At 47.5% G+C, this 17,330-nt stretch overlaps 1 pseudogene, besides 4 other annotated features; it reads right to left on the minus strand.

The window, feature by feature from the left end:
- Nucleotides 3,074-3,230: a silencer, noted in NCBI's record as "fragment chr2:26888285-26888441 (GRCh37/hg19 assembly coordinates)". NCBI's record gives its function as "represses an EF-1alpha promoter that drives an FKBP-Casp9 reporter gene in an ReSE screen in phorbol 12-myristate 13-acetate-treated (for megakaryocytic differentiation) K562 erythroleukemia cells {active_cell/tissue: K562(+PMA)}" and the evidence as "EXISTENCE:reporter gene assay evidence [ECO:0000049][PMID:32094911]".
- Nucleotides 7,474-7,975: an enhancer, noted in NCBI's record as "H3K4me1 hESC enhancer chr2:26892685-26893186 (GRCh37/hg19 assembly coordinates)". NCBI's record gives its function as "activates a minimal SCP1, AML or CMV promoter by ChIP-STARR-seq in naive H9 embryonic stem cells {active_cell/tissue: H9 hESC(naive)}" and the evidence as "EXISTENCE:reporter gene assay evidence [ECO:0000049][PMID:30033119]".
- Nucleotides 9,615-9,804: a silencer, noted in NCBI's record as "fragment chr2:26894826-26895015 (GRCh37/hg19 assembly coordinates)". NCBI's record gives its function as "represses an EF-1alpha promoter that drives an FKBP-Casp9 reporter gene in an ReSE screen in phorbol 12-myristate 13-acetate-treated (for megakaryocytic differentiation) K562 erythroleukemia cells {active_cell/tissue: K562(+PMA)}" and the evidence as "EXISTENCE:reporter gene assay evidence [ECO:0000049][PMID:32094911]".
- Nucleotides 10,058-10,352: a silencer, noted in NCBI's record as "tiled region #9124; HepG2 Repressive non-DNase unmatched - State 21:Repr". NCBI's record gives its function as "represses a minimal TATA promoter and a strong SV40 promoter by Sharpr-MPRA in HepG2 cells {active_cell/tissue: HepG2}" and the evidence as "EXISTENCE:reporter gene assay evidence [ECO:0000049][PMID:27701403]".
- On the minus strand, nt 15,830-16,194 carry RPL37P11 (ribosomal protein L37 pseudogene 11; annotated as a pseudogene).

Raw genomic sequence — 17,330 nt, forward strand, 5'->3', positions numbered from 1 at the left:
TCTGGACTCTCTTATTACTTTATAAGAGCTTTTTATATGTTAACAATAACAACCTGCCAAGCGCGGTGGCTCACGCCTTTAATCCCAGCACTTTGGGAGGCTGAGGCGGGCGGATCATGAGGTCAGGAGATCGAGACCATCCTGGCTAATACGGTGAAACCCCATCTCTACTAAAAATACAAAAAAAAAAAAAAATTAACCAGGCGTGGTGGCACATACCTGTAATGCCAGCTACTCGGGAGGCTGAGGCAGGGGAATCACTTGAACCCAGGAGGCAGAGGTTGCCGTGAGCCGAGATCACACCACTGTGCCACTGCACTCCAGCGTGGGTGACAGGGCGAGACTCCATCTCAAAAAAAAAATAAATAAATAAATAAATAAATAAATAACAACCTTTGTCTAGGGTGATTATATAAGTTATCATCCAAAGCAACACACTTTGAGAGTGACAAATCCTAAGCCAGATGGAACACCAAGACAACAAGTATAAACTAGAGGAGTCCTGAGAAAACTAGAATGTGTGGTTACCCTATTGTCTGTTACATTTGCGCTGAACTTTTCTCCAAGTATATTAATTACTTCAAAACATTTTAATAGATGTATTTTTAATACAGTATAAAGTTTACAGAAGCATCGAGTAAAAAATACGGAGTTCTCATATATCCCCTGCACACTCCCCAACCCCATGCATGCACACACTCCTATTATCATCACCTTGCATTAGTGTGGTATTTGTTACCATTAATTAACAAGTATTGATACATTTTTATTAACTAAAGTCTGTAGTTTATGTTAAGGTTCATTCTCTGTGTTGTACAACTTTATGGGTAATGACAAAGACATAACGCCCTATATCCACCATAACAGTATTATACAGAATAGTCTGTCACCTTAAAAATGTTTTGTACTCCATCTATTCATTCCTCTCACTTTCCCCTGTATCTCTAGAGACTACTGATCTTTTTACTGTCTCTATAGTTTGCCCTTTCCAGAGTGTCATATCACTGGAATCAAACACCATGTATCCTTTTCAGACTGGCTTTTTTCACTTAGCGATCCACATTTAAAGTTCTTCTATGTCTTTTCATGGCTTGACAGCTCCTATCTTTTTAATGATGAATAATATTCCATTGCACTGATGTGCCACAGTTTGTTTATCCATTTTTCTATAGAAGAATAATATCTTGGTTGTTTCCAACTACTGGTAATTACAAACAAAGCTGCTACAAACATTCATGTGCAGATTTTTGCATGGACAAAGTTTTTAACTCATTTTGGTAAACACCTAGGAACACAATTGCTGGATTGTACGGTAGGCCTGTTTACCTTTGTAAGAAATTGCTAAACTATCTTTCAAAGTGGCCCTACTGATAAAAAATATTAGTCGGGTGTGGTGGTGCATGCCTGTAGTCCCAGGTACTCAGGAGGCTGAGGCATGAGAATTGCTTGAACCTGTGAGGCAGAGGTTGCAGTGAGCCGAGATCATGCCACTGCACTCCAGCCTGGGTGACAGAGCGAGACTGTTTAAAAAAACACACACACATGAAATGGCTATGCCATTTACATTCTCACTGACAATAAATGAGAGTTCCTGTTGCTCCATGTCCTAACCAGCACTTGGTGTTGTCAGTGTTTTGGGTTTTAGCCATCTTAGGTGTATAGTGGTAGCTCATTGTTTTAATTTGCAAGTCCCTAGTGGTATATGATGTTGGACATATTTTCATATGCTTATTTACCACCTGTGTGTCTTCTTTATTTAGGTGCTTATTCAGAGCTTTTAAAATTGGGTTTTAAGTCCTTTTTGTATTTTGGATTAAAGTATTTTATCAGATATGTGTTTTGCAAACATTTTCTCCCACTCTGTGGCTTGTCTTTCATTCTCTTAACAGTGTTCTTCACAGAGCAGAAATTTTTAATTTTAATGAAGTACAGCTTAGCAATTTTTTCTTTCATGAATCATGTTTTTTGTGTTATATCTAAAACATCCTCACCAAACCCAAGGTCACCTAGATTTTCTCCCATGTTATCTTCTAAAAACCTTGTGGTTTTGAATTTTGCTTAGGTCTATGATCCATTTTATAGTAATTTTTGTGAAGGGTATAAGGTCTGTATCTAGAGTCATTGATTTTGCATCTGTGCCCAATCGTTCCAGCACTATTTGTTGTAAAGACTACCTTTTCTCCATTAAATTACCTTTTCTCCTTTGTCAAAGATGAATTGGCTATATTTGTGTTAGTCTATTTCTAGGCTTTCTATTCTATTCTATTGATCTATGCATCTATTCTTTCACCAGTACCATACTATTTTGATTACCATAGATTTACAGTATCTTAAAGTCAGGTAGTGTCGGTCCTCTGACATTGTCTTCCTTCAGTATTGTGTTGGCTATTCTGGGTCTTTGCCTCTCTATATAAATTTTTAAATCAATTTGTTGAAATCCACAAAATAACTTGCTGGGATTTCTATTGGGATTGTGTTGGATTTATAGGTTAAGTTGGGAAGAACTGACATTTTTTTTTTTTTAATTTTTATTTTTTTTAGTATTTGTTGATCATTCTTGGGTGTTTCTCGGAGAGGGGGATTTGGCAGGGTCATAGCACAATAGCGGAGGGAAGGTCAGCAGATAAACATGTGAACAAGGGTCTCTGGTTTTCCTAGACAGAGGACCCTGCGGCCTTCCGCAGTGTTTGTGTCCCTGGGTACTTGAGATTAAGGAGTAGTGATGACTCTTAACGAGCATGCTGCCTTCAAGCATCTGTTTAACAAAGCACATCTTGCACCGCCCTTAATCCATTTAACCCTGAGTGGACATGCACATGTTTCAGAGAGCACGGGGTTGGGGGGTAAGGTTATAGATTAACAGCATCCCAAGGCAGAAGAATTTTTCTTAGTACAGAACAAAACGGAGTCTCCCATGTCTACTTCTTTCTACACAGACACAGTAACAATCTGATCTCTCTTTCTTTTCCCCACATTTCCCCCTTTTTCTATTCGACAAAACCGCCATCGTCATCATGGCCCGTTCTCAATGAGCTGTTGGGTACACCTCCCAGACGGGGTGGCGGCCGGGCAGAGGGGCTCCTCACTTCCCAGACGGGGCGGCGGGGCAGAGGCGCCCCCCACCTCCCAGACGGGGCAGTGGCCGGGCGGAGGCGCCCCCCACCTCCCTCCCGGACGGGGCAGCTGGCCGGGCGGGGGCTGACCCCCCACCTCTCTCCCTGATGGGGCGGCTGACCGGGCATCTTAATAATATTGAACATGGAATATTTCTCCATTTATTTACCAGAGTTTTCTTTCCTCAGAGTTTTGTAGTTCTTTATACAGATCCTGTATATATTTTGTTAGATTTATGCCTAAGTCAGCCTGTCTTACGTACTTCCCTCTCCTCCCTCCCTTCCTCCCTCTCCTCCTACCTTCCTTCATTCCTTCTCTTTCTTTTTTTCTGTCTTTCTTTCTTTCTGGTTCTAATGTAGATGGCATTGTGCTTTTAATGTCAAATTCCAGTTGTTAATTGCTAGTATATAGGAAAGCAATTGGCTTTTATATATTAACCTTGTATGCTGCCCCTTGCAATTATTTATTAGTTCTGGGAGTTTTTTGTCAATTCTTTGAAATTTTCTACATAGATAATCACGTTATCTGCAAACAAAACTATTTTGTTTCTTTCCAATCTGTAAACCTTTTATTTCCTTTTCTTATCCTATTGCATTAGCTATGTCTTTCAAGACAATGTTAAATAGGACTGGAGAAAAGCAACATTCTGGTCTTGTTCCCAATCTTAGGGGGAAAGCATTTAGTTTCTCACCATTAAGTATGTTAGTACCAATTATTTTCCTAAAATGTGGAAAGCAATAAAAACTAATTTAAAATATTTAAAATATGTCTTTATATTTTCTAGATTTTGTGACTTCTTTTTTTTTTTTTTTGAGATGGAGTCTCGCTCTGTCACCCAGGCTGGAGTGCAGTGGTGTGATCTCGGCTCACTGCAAGCTCCGCCTCCCGGGTTCACGCCATTCTCCTGCCTCAGCCTCCTGAGTAGCTGGGACTACAGGCGCCGGCCACCACGCCCAGCTAATTTTTTGTATTTTTAGTAGAGATGGGGTTTCACCGTGTCAGCCAGGGTGGTCTCGATCTCCTGACCTCATCATCTGCCTGCCTTGGCCTCCCAAACTGCTGGGATTACAGACATGAGCCACCACACCTGGCCTTTTGTGCCTTTCTTAAAAAGGCCTTCCCTACTCCAGGGTTATAGAAGTACATCCCTATATGTTCTTTATTTTCTTTTAATAATTGTATAGGTTTGTTTTTTATCTATGCCTCTTTAATCCATCTGAAAATTATTTGGTATGTGAGGTAGGGATCTGCGGCAGATAGATACTATATGATGGCTGGCTCAAAATTCATATCAGTGCCCTTCTGGTGTTTCCTCCTGTATTGCAGAGATTCCCCTCATGCTAGGATTCCAGATGTAATGAAGAGTCTCCTGGCTAGATGCCTTTGGGATTCATCACAGCTCCAAGCCAATGACTGAGCACAGAGAGGAAACTAGGGCATAGCCAATTCTTCCCACCAAGAGACTTCTTTATGGGCAATCTTTGCGGTGGCCAAGACTTTCCTCAGAGCTGCACCAGAGTCTGAGGCCTTTTCTGGCCAACCTTCTTCCTTCTCTCTTTCCTTTCACAGGTGTCATAACTGTGTCACAGTCAGAAGACTTTCCCTACTACTCCTGCTCTGTCCCTGCTTTACCTTGCATGGGCATTATCACAACACATCTCTTACCCTCTTAAACTCTATCTCGATGTCTGCTTCCTAAGGGACCTAAGCAGATACAACTCACATGAAGCTTCAAGTTATTTGGAGAGAAAGGTAGCACCACCTCCATTTTATTAGCACAGATCCTGGTTAGAGGCAGTGTGGTCTCAGAACAACATCCATGGCAAAAACTTCCTACTATCTGGCAGCTTCCAGATTGTAGCAGACATCAGCTCCATCAGTGACTCAGTTCTGCACTGTGTCTTTGGAAGTTGTTCTGGTAAGCTCAACCTAAAGTCTTTTTCTTCAATGCCTCCTACAATCCTGTCTGCTATATGTACCTTCCATAAATTCCTTTCTGATTAAAATATTTAGAATAAATTCTCTTTGCAGGAAGCAAAGCCATCACCAATATATTATCTAAGTTAATTTTTTCCCAAGTGGGAAATCTATTATTGTCCCCAAACCATTGCTCCCAAACCATTTTTGAATAGCCAGTCCTTTTGTACTGGTTTAAAAATGCCCCTTTAGCATACACTACATTTCCATGTATCTGTTTCTTTACTGTCCCATTGATTGAATTATACCAACATCACTCTGCATTCATCACTTTACAGTAAATATTTGTATGTGGAAGGGCTGTTTCTTCTTCATTGTTCTTGCTGTGTCAAAATTTGTTTGGCTATTCTTGTGCATTTTTTTCTTCTAAGATGACTTTTAGAATTAGCTTGTAAAGTTACATTTTTAGAACTCTTGTTAAGTTTTTATTGGGATTTTACTGAATTTATAGATTAATTTTAGGAGAATTTATGTCTCTACAATATTGGATCATGCCCAAGGCCCATTTGTATTGGGGACTGGCTAGATGGCTTAGGAATAGGCCTGAAGCTTGAAGGCACACAGACTGGTGAGCAGTCAGTTCCAACGCAATCAGATTATTGCCTCAGTACCCAGCGCAGAAGTTCCAGAGAGAGCCCCCAGGATGTCCTGGGAGAGTCCAGAAAGTCTTCACAGACATAGAGGCAGCATTTGAGCTGAGACTTGAAGGATGACTAAGATTTTTCTAGGGAGAACAGTGCAAGTGTGTATCCCAGGAAGAGACAGCATGAGAAAAGGTACCGTGGCATGGGAAGACCTGGAGTGTTTGGGAAACCACAAGTTGTTGTGGATCACTCAGGCATGCAGTGGCAAGGGAGTAGGGTGAGGTGGTGCCAAAACAGTGATTGATTTGGCCAGAAGGGTAGTCATTTGACGGCCAACGTGTGTGCCAGGCACTATCTTAAGCACTAACTTATTGAACATGTACAACATCCCAGTTACAAAGCTACTGTCATGATTCCTATGTTAGAGTGGGACGATATAAAGAGAAATCAGCTGGCCGTGGTAATCCCAGCACTTTGGGAGGCCAAGGCAGGAGGACTGCTTGAGCCCAGGTGCTTGAGACTAGCCTGGGGAACATAGTGAGACCCCTCTACAGTTTTTTTTCTTAATTAGCTGGGTGTGGTGGTGCACACCTGTAGTCCCAGCTACTTGGGAGGCTGAGGTGGCAGAATCACTTGAGCCCAGGAGGTCGAGGCTATGGTGAGCCATGATTGTGCCACTGTAGTCCAGCCTGGGGGACAGAGCAAGACACTGTCTAAAAGAGAGAGAGAAGTTAAGAGACCGTCTCAAAGCCATGTGGCTAGAAAGTAATGGAAGTAAGACTCAAGCCCAGGGATGTGGGCCCCAGGGGCCATCCATCTTCTTATCTCTACACTGTCTGAAGAGCCTCATAGGCTGAACCACAGAGCCCCGGCCCATCAATCCCAGTGCTCTGTTGCCCACAGATGCACAAGGATGAGCCTGTAGAGTCTGACGATACCCTACAAACAAGATTTGCTAAGCCAGGAAAGGAGAGACATGGCAATTCCTCCTGTAAGAGGCTCATTTAAGCAGCAGCCTCAGGAGAGATGATGTCTGGGGAGACACGTGATACTTGAACCAAGGCAGCTGCCAGGGAATAGAGAGGAAAGGCTGGAAAAGAGGCTATCAGTACTCAAACCTCAGACTCAGACTCCAAATCAAATCTGCTTTTCATACCACACTGTCACTCATTCATTCATTCAGCACTTACTAAGCCCTTACTGGGTACCAGGCTGGGTGCTGGCTGCCAGGATACATCCTGCTTCTGCCCTAAGGCTAGACCCAGAGCTTAAAAAGGTGACTGATCAGAGCTATCCCAACCACACCACATGACAAGAAGGCCCAGGATGTGGCCGACTCCCCTGGCTGCCCACAACACCCCACCACAGCCTTCCCTGTCCACGTGGGTCTCGAACTCTCTGTCCCCTCCTAGTATAGAATGCCTGTCTCCTTTCTTCTCTCTTTCCCTTCTTCCCTTCCTCTCTCCCTCCATCCCTCCCTCCCTCCCTTCCTTTTATTCATTCAACAAACATTCACAGATTGCTGGCCTTCTGCCAGACTCCAGCTAGATGCTAGGGAAGCAAAGATGCAAGACAAAGCCTTATCTGAAATGATTACAGGAAAGAGAAACAGAAATAGCCATGGGGAATCTGTCTGGGAACGATAGGGGCGCAAAGGGTCTCAAAGGGTACTGTGGTGGTCAATTCAGAGTTGGTGGGGGCAGGGGAGCATATTTTTGCAAAAGAAGCAGCTTCAGCATCACTGAGGAGGTGTGAAAAAGCCTGGAATGTTCTGGAAACTGCAAACATGGGGTTGGGTTTTAAAGGCTAAGCTTTGGTCTGGAGGCACACAGGTAGAGTTTGGCATTCTGGCTATGCCACATACAACCTGTGTAGCCCATGTGAGTTATTTAACTTCTTTGAAACTATTTCTTCATTTGTAAAGTGGGGATAATAATTTTCATTTCACAGGGTCATTGTGAGAATTAATTGAGAATATTTATCCCACAAAATATCTTTTGGACACCTCCTATACGCCAGACACGGCTCCAGCCTGGGAGTGCACGGTTAAACAAAATAGATCAAGTCCCTGCCCCCATGGGGCTCATATTCTAGTGGAGGGAGACAGATGAAAGTATAGCATCATGTCAAGTAGTGGTAAGTGATTGCAAAACAGTAAAGTGGGTGTCTCAGGTTGGGCTCCCCAGAAGCAGCCCCTGAGATGAGGATTTGCTTAGGAAGTGCTCACAGGGGCCGCTGGTAAGGGACTGGGGAGGAAGGGCAGGGGGAGTGAGGAGGCCCACTAGGCATTCGGCCTGAAGTCGAGCCCCAAGAGGAGGCTTCAGCCTGATCTCACAGGAAACACTGGCATGGTCCCAGCCTTCCACACCCCCACATCCTTAGTCACTGGTTAGAGGGCACCCAGGGATGTAAATTTCCAGGCTGTTCTGGTGCCTGCAGGGAAAGCAGGCTCCAGTAGCCCAAGGATGGGTCTCTAGAGAAGGTGGGAGAAGGGAAGGAAGGAGGAAGGAAGAAAGGAGGGAAGGAGGGAGAGAGGGAGAGAGGAAGGGAGGGAGGGAAGGAAGGAAGGAAGGAAGGAAGGAAGGAAGGAAGGAAGGAAGGAAGGAAGGAAGGAAGGAGCTAGAAGCTTCTTCCTAGAAGCTCAGTAGCCCTTGCTCTTGTCTCTGCTGAGGGTAACGGGGGGCTGCCTGTGCTCATGGGGAGAGGCTGAACTTTTAAATCAGAAGGCGCAGGTTTGAAGCCTGGTTCCCTTGCTTCCTGGCTGTGAGAGCCTTGGATGCACCACTTAGCCACTCCTAACCTGAGGGAGGGAGGGAAGGAGGGAGGAAGGAAGGAAGGAAGGAAGGAAGGAGGGAAGGGAGGAGGGAAGGAAGGAGAGAAGAAGGGAAGGCAGGGGAGGGAGGGAGGGAGAGAGGGAGAGAGGAAGATGAGCAGGGTCATGGGGATTCTGGAGCTGGATTCAGCCCCGGCCCATGAATCCCAGTGCTCTGTTGCCCACAGAGGCCCATGGATGAGCCTGTAGGAAGATCTAGCTCTTCAGGGTTTGCTGGTTGACAAAATGTCAGTGACTTACATTTACAAATGCTTTGGCATGCCCAAGACAGTTTCATATAACTTGATGAACTGGAAGAGCAGGTAGCGTTATTTTTATACCTTCTCTCCTCAGGGTGGACAAGCGGTGGTTGCCCCAGTAGCCATCCTATCCCCTCCCACTGGGCAGCAGCCATGCCCTGCAAATAGGACAGTCCCACCCCAGTGCACGGGTCTAAAGGCAGTTTGATCCAGTGAGAGAGATGCAGATGGGGAATCCAGAGATCTGGGATCCAAAGTCCAGCTTGGCCATAGCTGGCTGAGTGACCTTGGGCTTGTCCATTCCCCTCTCTGGGCAACAGTTTCCTTGTTGGTCACATGAGGGGCTTGCGTCACTGACAGGTGATCTGTAACATTCTTCCTGGCATTGGGATGCTCTTATTTCTGAGACTCTAAATTGCCTGGCCTGTGAGAGGGCAGCTGAGGGCTGTGGACAGAGTCTAAGGTGAAGAGTACAAAGATCCTGGTTCAGACTTGGGCCCCACTTAGTACCTCTGTGCCCCTCAGAGCTTCATCGTCCTCATCTACAGGATGAAGAAAAGTCATTCTTGCCCAAATTACTTTCCTAAGTGAATAAAGGAATAAAAGATGATAAAGCTGCAGAAAATGTAAAATGTTTACTCTTATTAATCATTTGTGAGCATCTGCTGAATCGGGGCATTGTGGTGAGAACCTTACACACTTTATCTAAGCTCATTACTGAGACCTGGAGGTAAGAACTATCCCCAGGGTTGTGCAGGGAAATGCTTAGCAGCCAGCCCGCCGGGGAGGAAGGTCCCGATTTGTAGTGTTTGCCCATTTCTGTGGTGTCAATGCTTCCACTTTAGCCCTTTCCAAGCTAAGCGGCCTCATGTTACTTAATGCAGAGCTGGGGAGAAATGCATACAATTGACTTTCTGGAGTGGAAGAGTCAGCTCCAGTGCATCACTGACTGTATCCACTTTATTGATAAGAAAGCAGATTGAGAAACATGTCCAAATTCACAGTCAATACTAGCAGAGTCAGGATTGAAACCCAAGCCTGACTGCCTGGAAGCTCAGTGGTCCCTGCTCTTCTCTCTGCTGAGGGTAACGAGGTGTACTGTGCTCATGGAGAGAGGCTGAACTTTTAAATCAGAAGGCGCAAGTTTGAAGCCTGGCTCCCTTGTTTCCTGGCTGTGAGAGCCTTGGATGCACCACTTAGCCACTCCTAACCTGAGGCCTCAGTTTTCTCATCTGTTAAATGGGAGAGAGTGAGTGCCCAGCACACACAGTTTCTCCGTGACTCCAGTGAATGTGGCCGTGCTTTGTAACAGAGAAACTCACTTTGTAAGCAACAGCACCTGGCGCCTCACCAGTGGTGAGGAGCTGCTCACCCAGGGAGCCTGTCTGCTATGAGGACGCTGCTTCCAGCAGGACTTGGGGCCCCCAGCCCACCTCCCTGTGCCCAAGGATCTATAGCCGAAGGCCGGTAGAAACATCTCGGAGCTCCTGTTCCAGCCCCACCATGGAGCTCCCCTCCCTCGGTTCCCAACCCCTAACATTCCAGCACAAGTCCCTCCCTTCTGCCTCTCCCCAGGAGTTAAGCCCAGCAGAAACCAGAATGCTTCTCAGAGCTGCTGGAATCCTGTGCCCCATAAATCAGGATGCTGAGCTGTGAGACCAAAGGAACGCTCTGGAAAAGAAAGTCAATCACCTGATGATTGTTTTTAAATAGCATCTCATGAACTCAGACTTACCCACGGTATCAAACTGCCTTCCACCACCGTCACCCCCAGTAAGGATATTTGGGGCTCAACCCTCCTTGTCTTGATGCTCAAGCAGCATGGGGTGCAAAGGGCCCTGCAGCAGGGCCCAGGGCTCCTGGAAACCATGGCCTGCTCTGTGACATGGCCCAGAGGGAGCTCAGGTACCCTCTTGAAACCTGCACTCACCCGGCCTGGCTGACTTTGACAGAGGGAGATAGAGGTCTTTGGGGAACTTTTGTAAGAGAGAGACATTGTGTTCTCTCTAGAAGCCAAGATTATCCCCAAATCACATGAGTTTACACACACGCGTGCACACGTGCCCTTACACACAAACACATACACACGTGTGCACATGTGCACACACATTCACCTACATGTGCGCACACTCCCATCTATTCATCCTGGAGTGCCCTGGGATTCTGGAGATGCACAGGTGCACGTTGTGATGTTGACTGTGGTTCTCAGAAGAGGCAAGAAAGAGATTTTGGGGTGACCCAAATCCCAGCAGAGCCCCTAGCAATGCACAAGGGGGAAGAGTATGGACTGGAGACTGCAAGAGAACAAGAATCAGGAGAAGGGATTCCTGAGTGAAAGAGGTTTCTGGAGCCACCTCGGGAGGGGCAGCTTACCTGCAGCTGGCTTCTGGGCAGAACCTGGGCAGCAGGCACTTTGCAAAGGGCAGGTTTGACCTGGAACAGAGAGAAACAGACCTAGAATCTGGGAAAGGGACCATTTTTTCTGAGCGACTGGGAGAACTCTGAGAAAGGACTGATCTGGCCTTAGATCAAATGATGGAAGGAAGCACAGGCTGCGATGAGGTCTGGAAACCCCTCCAATGTGCTGGGACAAGCAACCAGCCAGAGTGGGTCGTGTGGGCCAAGGCTCCTCTTTGCCCTGGCTTGTGTGTGATGTCATCCAGAGCTTTCCTTTAAGTATATGCCCAGGGGGTGGTCTATACATAGATGAGCTGGGGATGTCAGGGTCAAGGGACAGGGGGTGGGGGGCAGGGGGCAGAGTTTGGAAGCTGGGGTGGCCCTGAAAAGTTTGTCATGTCCTCTTGGTATTAAGTGGGGTGGTAACAGGCATTAAGAGTGGTTCTCGCTGTGGGAACCTGAGCTAAGAAGAGGTGATTAGTGGGGTAGGGACAGGTAGTCTAGTAGGTCAGGTAGCATCAACTAAGGGACCTCCCAGGTGACATTGCCCTGGTGAATTGACCATTATCCCAGACAGGGCCAATCAAGCTCCAAAGAGAGGGGAACCTGCAGACCCTCCTTGGCCAACGTGTTCAACCCTTATGAGGGCTTGGAATGCCCATGCCCCACCTCCCAGGCTGCCTTTGCCTGGCACAAGACCCCCTAGATGGCTGGAGCTGTGAGTACGGGGTCTGTGCAAAGTCTTAGGGCCACTCCATACGGCCGTGGTGGGCCCAGTAACCTGCTCAGACCACGTTAGAGCATGTGGTCTGGTCCCTGGGGCATTTCTAGATTCAAGGCCTTCCCCTTACAGTGTTGGACAAATCCTGTACCCTGTAGCTCAGGGTTACCTTTTTCTCCTCCCAGATTCATCACCCCCACACCGGCGAACCTCAGTGGGTGCTGAGAACACTCTCAAAGGCATGGGTCCCACAGTTACAGACAGCCGCTGGGCCACCTTCCTCGGATGCTGAGCTTAAGTCTCTGAGGGCAGCTTCTGAGAATTGCCCCCCTGGTTCTGCCCAGGAAAGGAGCCTTGGCCTCTCCATAGGCAGATGTGGGATCCCTTAGAGATTGTGGCTCTGCACCAGCAGAAGGGTGGGGCTGGTGAAGGCTCATTAGACGCCCTTGTCCACCCCATGTGCTGCATAGATGAGGAGCCTGAGGCCCACGGAGAGGACACGGTTACTCCTGCGTCCCAGAGACGGGTTCAGGGCAGATCTGAGGCTGAACTGGAGCTCCTACTGCCCATCTTTTCTATCAAAGTTCATGCTGCTGTCCCCAAGACCCTGCTCCAGATACAGAGCTGCAGAAGCTTTCCTGAGCCTAGGCGAGGGCCTGGCCCACTCTACTTTCCCAGAATGAGCGTTGGTGAGGGCCAGGGTGAGCTCTGGCCGAAGCAGGAAAGCGCTGTCTAAACACGCTCTGGGGCTTGTGTGTCTGGCTGGCTGTCCCCCGGGCCAGGTGGGCCTCTGACACACAGCAGGAATTTTCCACTGGCGCATCCTCTGGCTGGTTGGGATCCAACGCATTTTCGAGCCTTTTTGTTTCACTCCAGTTGTCTCCCCTGCCCCATGAAGATGCGCCCTGGGGGCGAGAGCGTGGGGGCCGTGAATCTTCAGAGGCTTCAGGGAGCCCCCCTTCTATGACCCAGAAGCCATCAGTCAGTACCTAAAATACAGAATGAAGGAAAGGAAAATCACTCTTAATAAATCTACATAGATAGTGAAATTAAAGTTCAGAGAGAAGGTGACATGTCCAAGGTAGAGCCAACACAGGTTTGTCTAAGCCTGGCACCATCCTGTTTCCACTGAACCAGTTTCCCAAGGTTAAGAGCCAAGGTCACCGGAAGACACTGCAAGGGGGAGTTTCAAAGATGAAACTGTGGCCAGGCGCTGTGGCCCACTCCTTTAATCCCAGCACTTTGGGAGGCCGAGGTGGGCAGATCACCTGAGGTCAGGAGTTCGAGACCAGCCTGGCCAACGTGATGAAACCCTATCTCTACTAAAAATACAAAAATTAGTTGGGTGTGGTGGTTCACACCTGTAATCCCAGCTACCTGGGAGGCTGAGGCAGGGGAATCACATTGCAGTGAGCCGAGATCACGCTACTGCACTCCAGCCTGGGCAACAGAGCAAGGCTCCATGTAAAAAAAAAAAAAAAAAAAGCTGCAGGAGGGAGCTGGGCCATCCATGTGGGGACACTGCCAGCTCACAGAAGTCCCTGGAATGGACAGCTGAGTGTGCCAGCAACGCACGCATCCCCATGCTGTGTCACTCCAGCCTGGAGGCAGCAACGCCAACAGCTCCTTCCCAAAGGCCAGGCCGGGAGGCCAGGGCCCACACTTTAGGAGCCTGTAACCCCTCATTCTGCATCACAGTGGTAGGGCTTTTTCCTGGGTTGGGGCCAACACATTTGACCCTGCATCCAGAGCATTCCTTGGGCAGCAATAAGGGCCTTGATCTGGAACCTGTCGGGAGGACAGCCTGAGAGGCTGGGCCTGCAGAGGGAGACCAGCTGGGCTGGAGCCTGAGTCTTGTGGGGCCTCTGTCAAGCCATGCAGGAGGGCCACAGGAGGCCACAGTGGGCAGGCACAGGATGCTGCTTTTTCCCAAGACAGTGTTCCTGGCTGGTGGTTGGGGAGGTACCTGTGCCTGCAGGGCAGGTTCACAGCCAAGGAGAGAAGACCAACTTAACACGCTGAATGACATTCTCTGGGCTCCTCCCTCGGACCCTGGAAATGTTTCCTAGAATCATCACCAACTGCCCAGAGCCTGGGCCTCCACAAAGCTGACCTCAGGGAGACTCCAGCCCATTCAGAGAGGTGGGCAAGTGGGGAAGGTGATGGCAGGAAGATCTGGGGTGCCATTTGGCCTGTGCAACCTCCCACCCCCATGAAAATCCTTGCTATGGTTTGAATGTTTCCCTCCTCTGACACTTATGTGGAAACTGTATCCCCAGTGTGGCAGTATTGAGAAGTGGGGCCTTTAGGAGGTGATTAGGTCATGAGGGCTCTGCCCTCATGAATGGACTAATCCATTCATGGATTAATAGATTAAGGGGTTAGTGGATTAATGGGCTATCATGGGAGTGGGACTGGTGGCTTTATAAGAAGAAGAGAGATCTGAGCTAGTACGCTCAGCCCCTCACCCTGTGATGCCCTGTACCACCCAGGGACTCTGCATAGAGTCCCCACCAGCAAGAAGACCCTCAGCAGCCCCTCAGCCTTGGACTTCTTAGTCTTCATAGCTTAAGAAATTAATTCCTTTTCTTGGCCTGGCACAGTGGCTCACACCTGTAATCCCAGCATTTTGGGAGGCCGAGACAGGTGGATCACCTGAGGTCAGGAGTTTGAAACCACCCTGGCCAACATGATGAAACCCCGTCTCTACTAAAAATACAAAAATTAGCCAGGCGTGATGGAGGGTGCCTGTAATCCCAGCTACTTGGGAGGCTGAGGCAGGGAGAATGGCTTGAAACCGGGAGGCAGAGGTTGCAGTGAGCCGAGATTGCACTACTGCACTCCAGACTGGGTGACAGAGCAAGACTCCATCTCAAAAAAATTAAAAATAAAATAATAAATTCCTTTTCTTTATAAATTACTCAGTTTCAGGTATTCTCTTTAAAGCAATAAAGAATGGACAAAGACACTCCTACGGCCGGCTTCCCATTGACCAGCCCAGCATTTCCTGTGTTAGAGAAAAAAGTTTTTCCATGGTCAAATAAATTTGGGAAATCAGGCCAAACCCGTCCTGATTCCCAAATGTATTACAAATTTCCTTCAGATCTTCTAGACAGCGGTTCTCAAGCAGGGGTGAATTTGTCCCCTAGGGGACACTTGTCAATGTATTTAGACATTTTTAGTTGTCACAACTGGGAGGGTACTACTGGTATCTAACGGGTAGAGGCCTGGATGCTGCTAGACATCCTATAATGCACAGGACACCCCATAACAAAGAAGTATCCAGGCCCAAATATCAATAGTGCTGAGACTGAGAAACTTTGTCCTAGAGTGTTGCATAGAACTCCAGGGAGGTGTTCAGGGGCCACAGTGTAGAGAACATTTGTCATTCTTTCGGGCCACCCAGCATCTGCTCTCCCTTCCCATGTTTGAGGATTTGCCCCATGTTTTGAGCCAGAAGCTGAACCCAGAATGGAAGCTCTATGAAGCCAATCCACATTGTCCCAGCCTCTCTTGCAGCTAGGTGGGAGGCAGGTGACCTCCCTCCACCAGTCACATGCATTTTCCCCAGGATTTGGATCCAAAACTCACGATGCAGAAAAGTGAGACTATGCAGAGCCCATTGTGTAGCAGTGAGGGAGGTGGCAGCAGCTGTGGTGGCAGGGGCTATGGTGGTCCTAGAGGCAGGGTGGATGGAGCTAGTGGCACAAGCTAAGGTGTCTATGCAGCAGTAGGGTCTTCCCAGGATCTATCATACAATGTGACTTTGGGTGTTGCTCCTGGCTACTTTGCCTCTGACCTTGATTTTTCTGACCCCACAGGAGATTCTGTGAGCTACCCAAGATCTTTAGAATAAATCCTTTTTAAGCTTAAATTAGGAAAGTCGGCCTCCATTGCTTGCAATTAAGAACTATTTGGGTGGTACTGAGTTCTCCAAGTGTATCTGGGCACAGGATTCTTCTTTTTTTTTTAAACCAGAACATTTATTGCATGACTAATCATTGAAATTCTTAAAATGAACTGGATGTTGCGACAGCTGCCCTCTTGGGTTTAGGTGTTGTTCCTTCATGGAATCCATGCCTGAATGTGTGGTATATAATTTTTAGGTGCCTTATTCAACTGGTCCGGGTGGTATTTCATCTTTTAGCCTTGGCACTCCAGTTATACTTTCTCTCGCACTTGGCAAGGTAGCCACATTTGCCACAGGTCAACTTCTGAAGGTGATAGGCCTTACAGCCACAGCAGTGGCACAACGTGTGTCTTATTGCAACGCTTTCCAAACGATGATGTTCCCTTCATCATCTTGCTTCTGTGGCCGAGACCAGAGAGCAGGCACAGGATTCTTTCTTTTGCAGAACATCTCAAAGAACCTTTGTGCTATGAGCATACTTTAAGGTATATTGGCCAAAATGAGAGTCAAATAGGGATTCCCATAACCTCTGCTCCTGCCAGACCAGACCACTGCAATAGCTCCACCTCCAGCAGAGGTCCAGGACCAGTGAGGACATCAGCATCTCTCTGCTGGTTGTAGCTGAGTCAGGGATACCCTGCAACTACCCTCCTCTTCTGTGCCATCAAGGGCTGAGAATAACTGCAGCTGGCTGCAGCCTCAAAAATCAAAACACAATCAAGGTGTGGAAATGATTGGGCTTATCAGAAGAAGGTGGAAGAAACTGGAAACTCTGATGCCTGATTGGGGTGATGATACTGGCAAATCAGAGATAGGTTTAAAGAGAAACTTGAGGTTTTAAGAATTTAAGAAGTCAGGAGGGAAAAGAGGGAGACTTTTTGGGGAAGGTCAGATATCTACCTAGAAAAGAGTGAAGCTATTTTAGGGGATTTTATATCCGGACTTCATGGAAGATGCTGAGCCCAGTTTCAGATATGTTTAAAGAGAGCAATTTTAAATGACAGTCATTTATTTACTCAACAAATATGTATCAAGAACCAGACATTAAACAAGTGCTGGGTGGCAGTGTTGAAGAAAGCAGGCATAGTGACCTGCCCTTACCCTCCTAGAGCCTGAGATCTAGTCGGGAAGGCAGATACCCAGTCCTTAAGATGCAATTGATCTTTCCATTATAATGGTGTTTCATCATTGGGGAAGAGAGTGAGAGCTGGGGGAATATACGTGGTGTAACCCTCTTTGGGGTCATGGGGGACTTCCTGGGGATGGGACCATCAGAGGAGAAGAAGTGAGCAGATGGGAAGAGGAGTGAGGCTGGTGGAAGAAGGGTCTATGTTGGGGCTGAGATGGAAGGAGTATGGAGGGTTTGGGTCCTGAAAGAAGGCTCCGGAAGCCCAGGATTAGGGCAGGGCAGAATAGAGGACTTGAAGCTGGGCTGGAGAGGTAGGCAGGAGCCAGATCCAAAAGGGTCTTGCAGGCAATTTCAAGGATCCAGGTCTTCATCCTGAAAGCAATAGGAATAATTGGAGGGTTTGGATCGGAGCCATGTGACATAAGG

Source organism: Homo sapiens, chromosome 2 (assembly GCF_000001405.40).
Source record: "Homo sapiens chromosome 2, GRCh38.p14 Primary Assembly".
NCBI classification, from domain to species: Eukaryota; Metazoa; Chordata; class Mammalia; order Primates; family Hominidae; genus Homo; species Homo sapiens.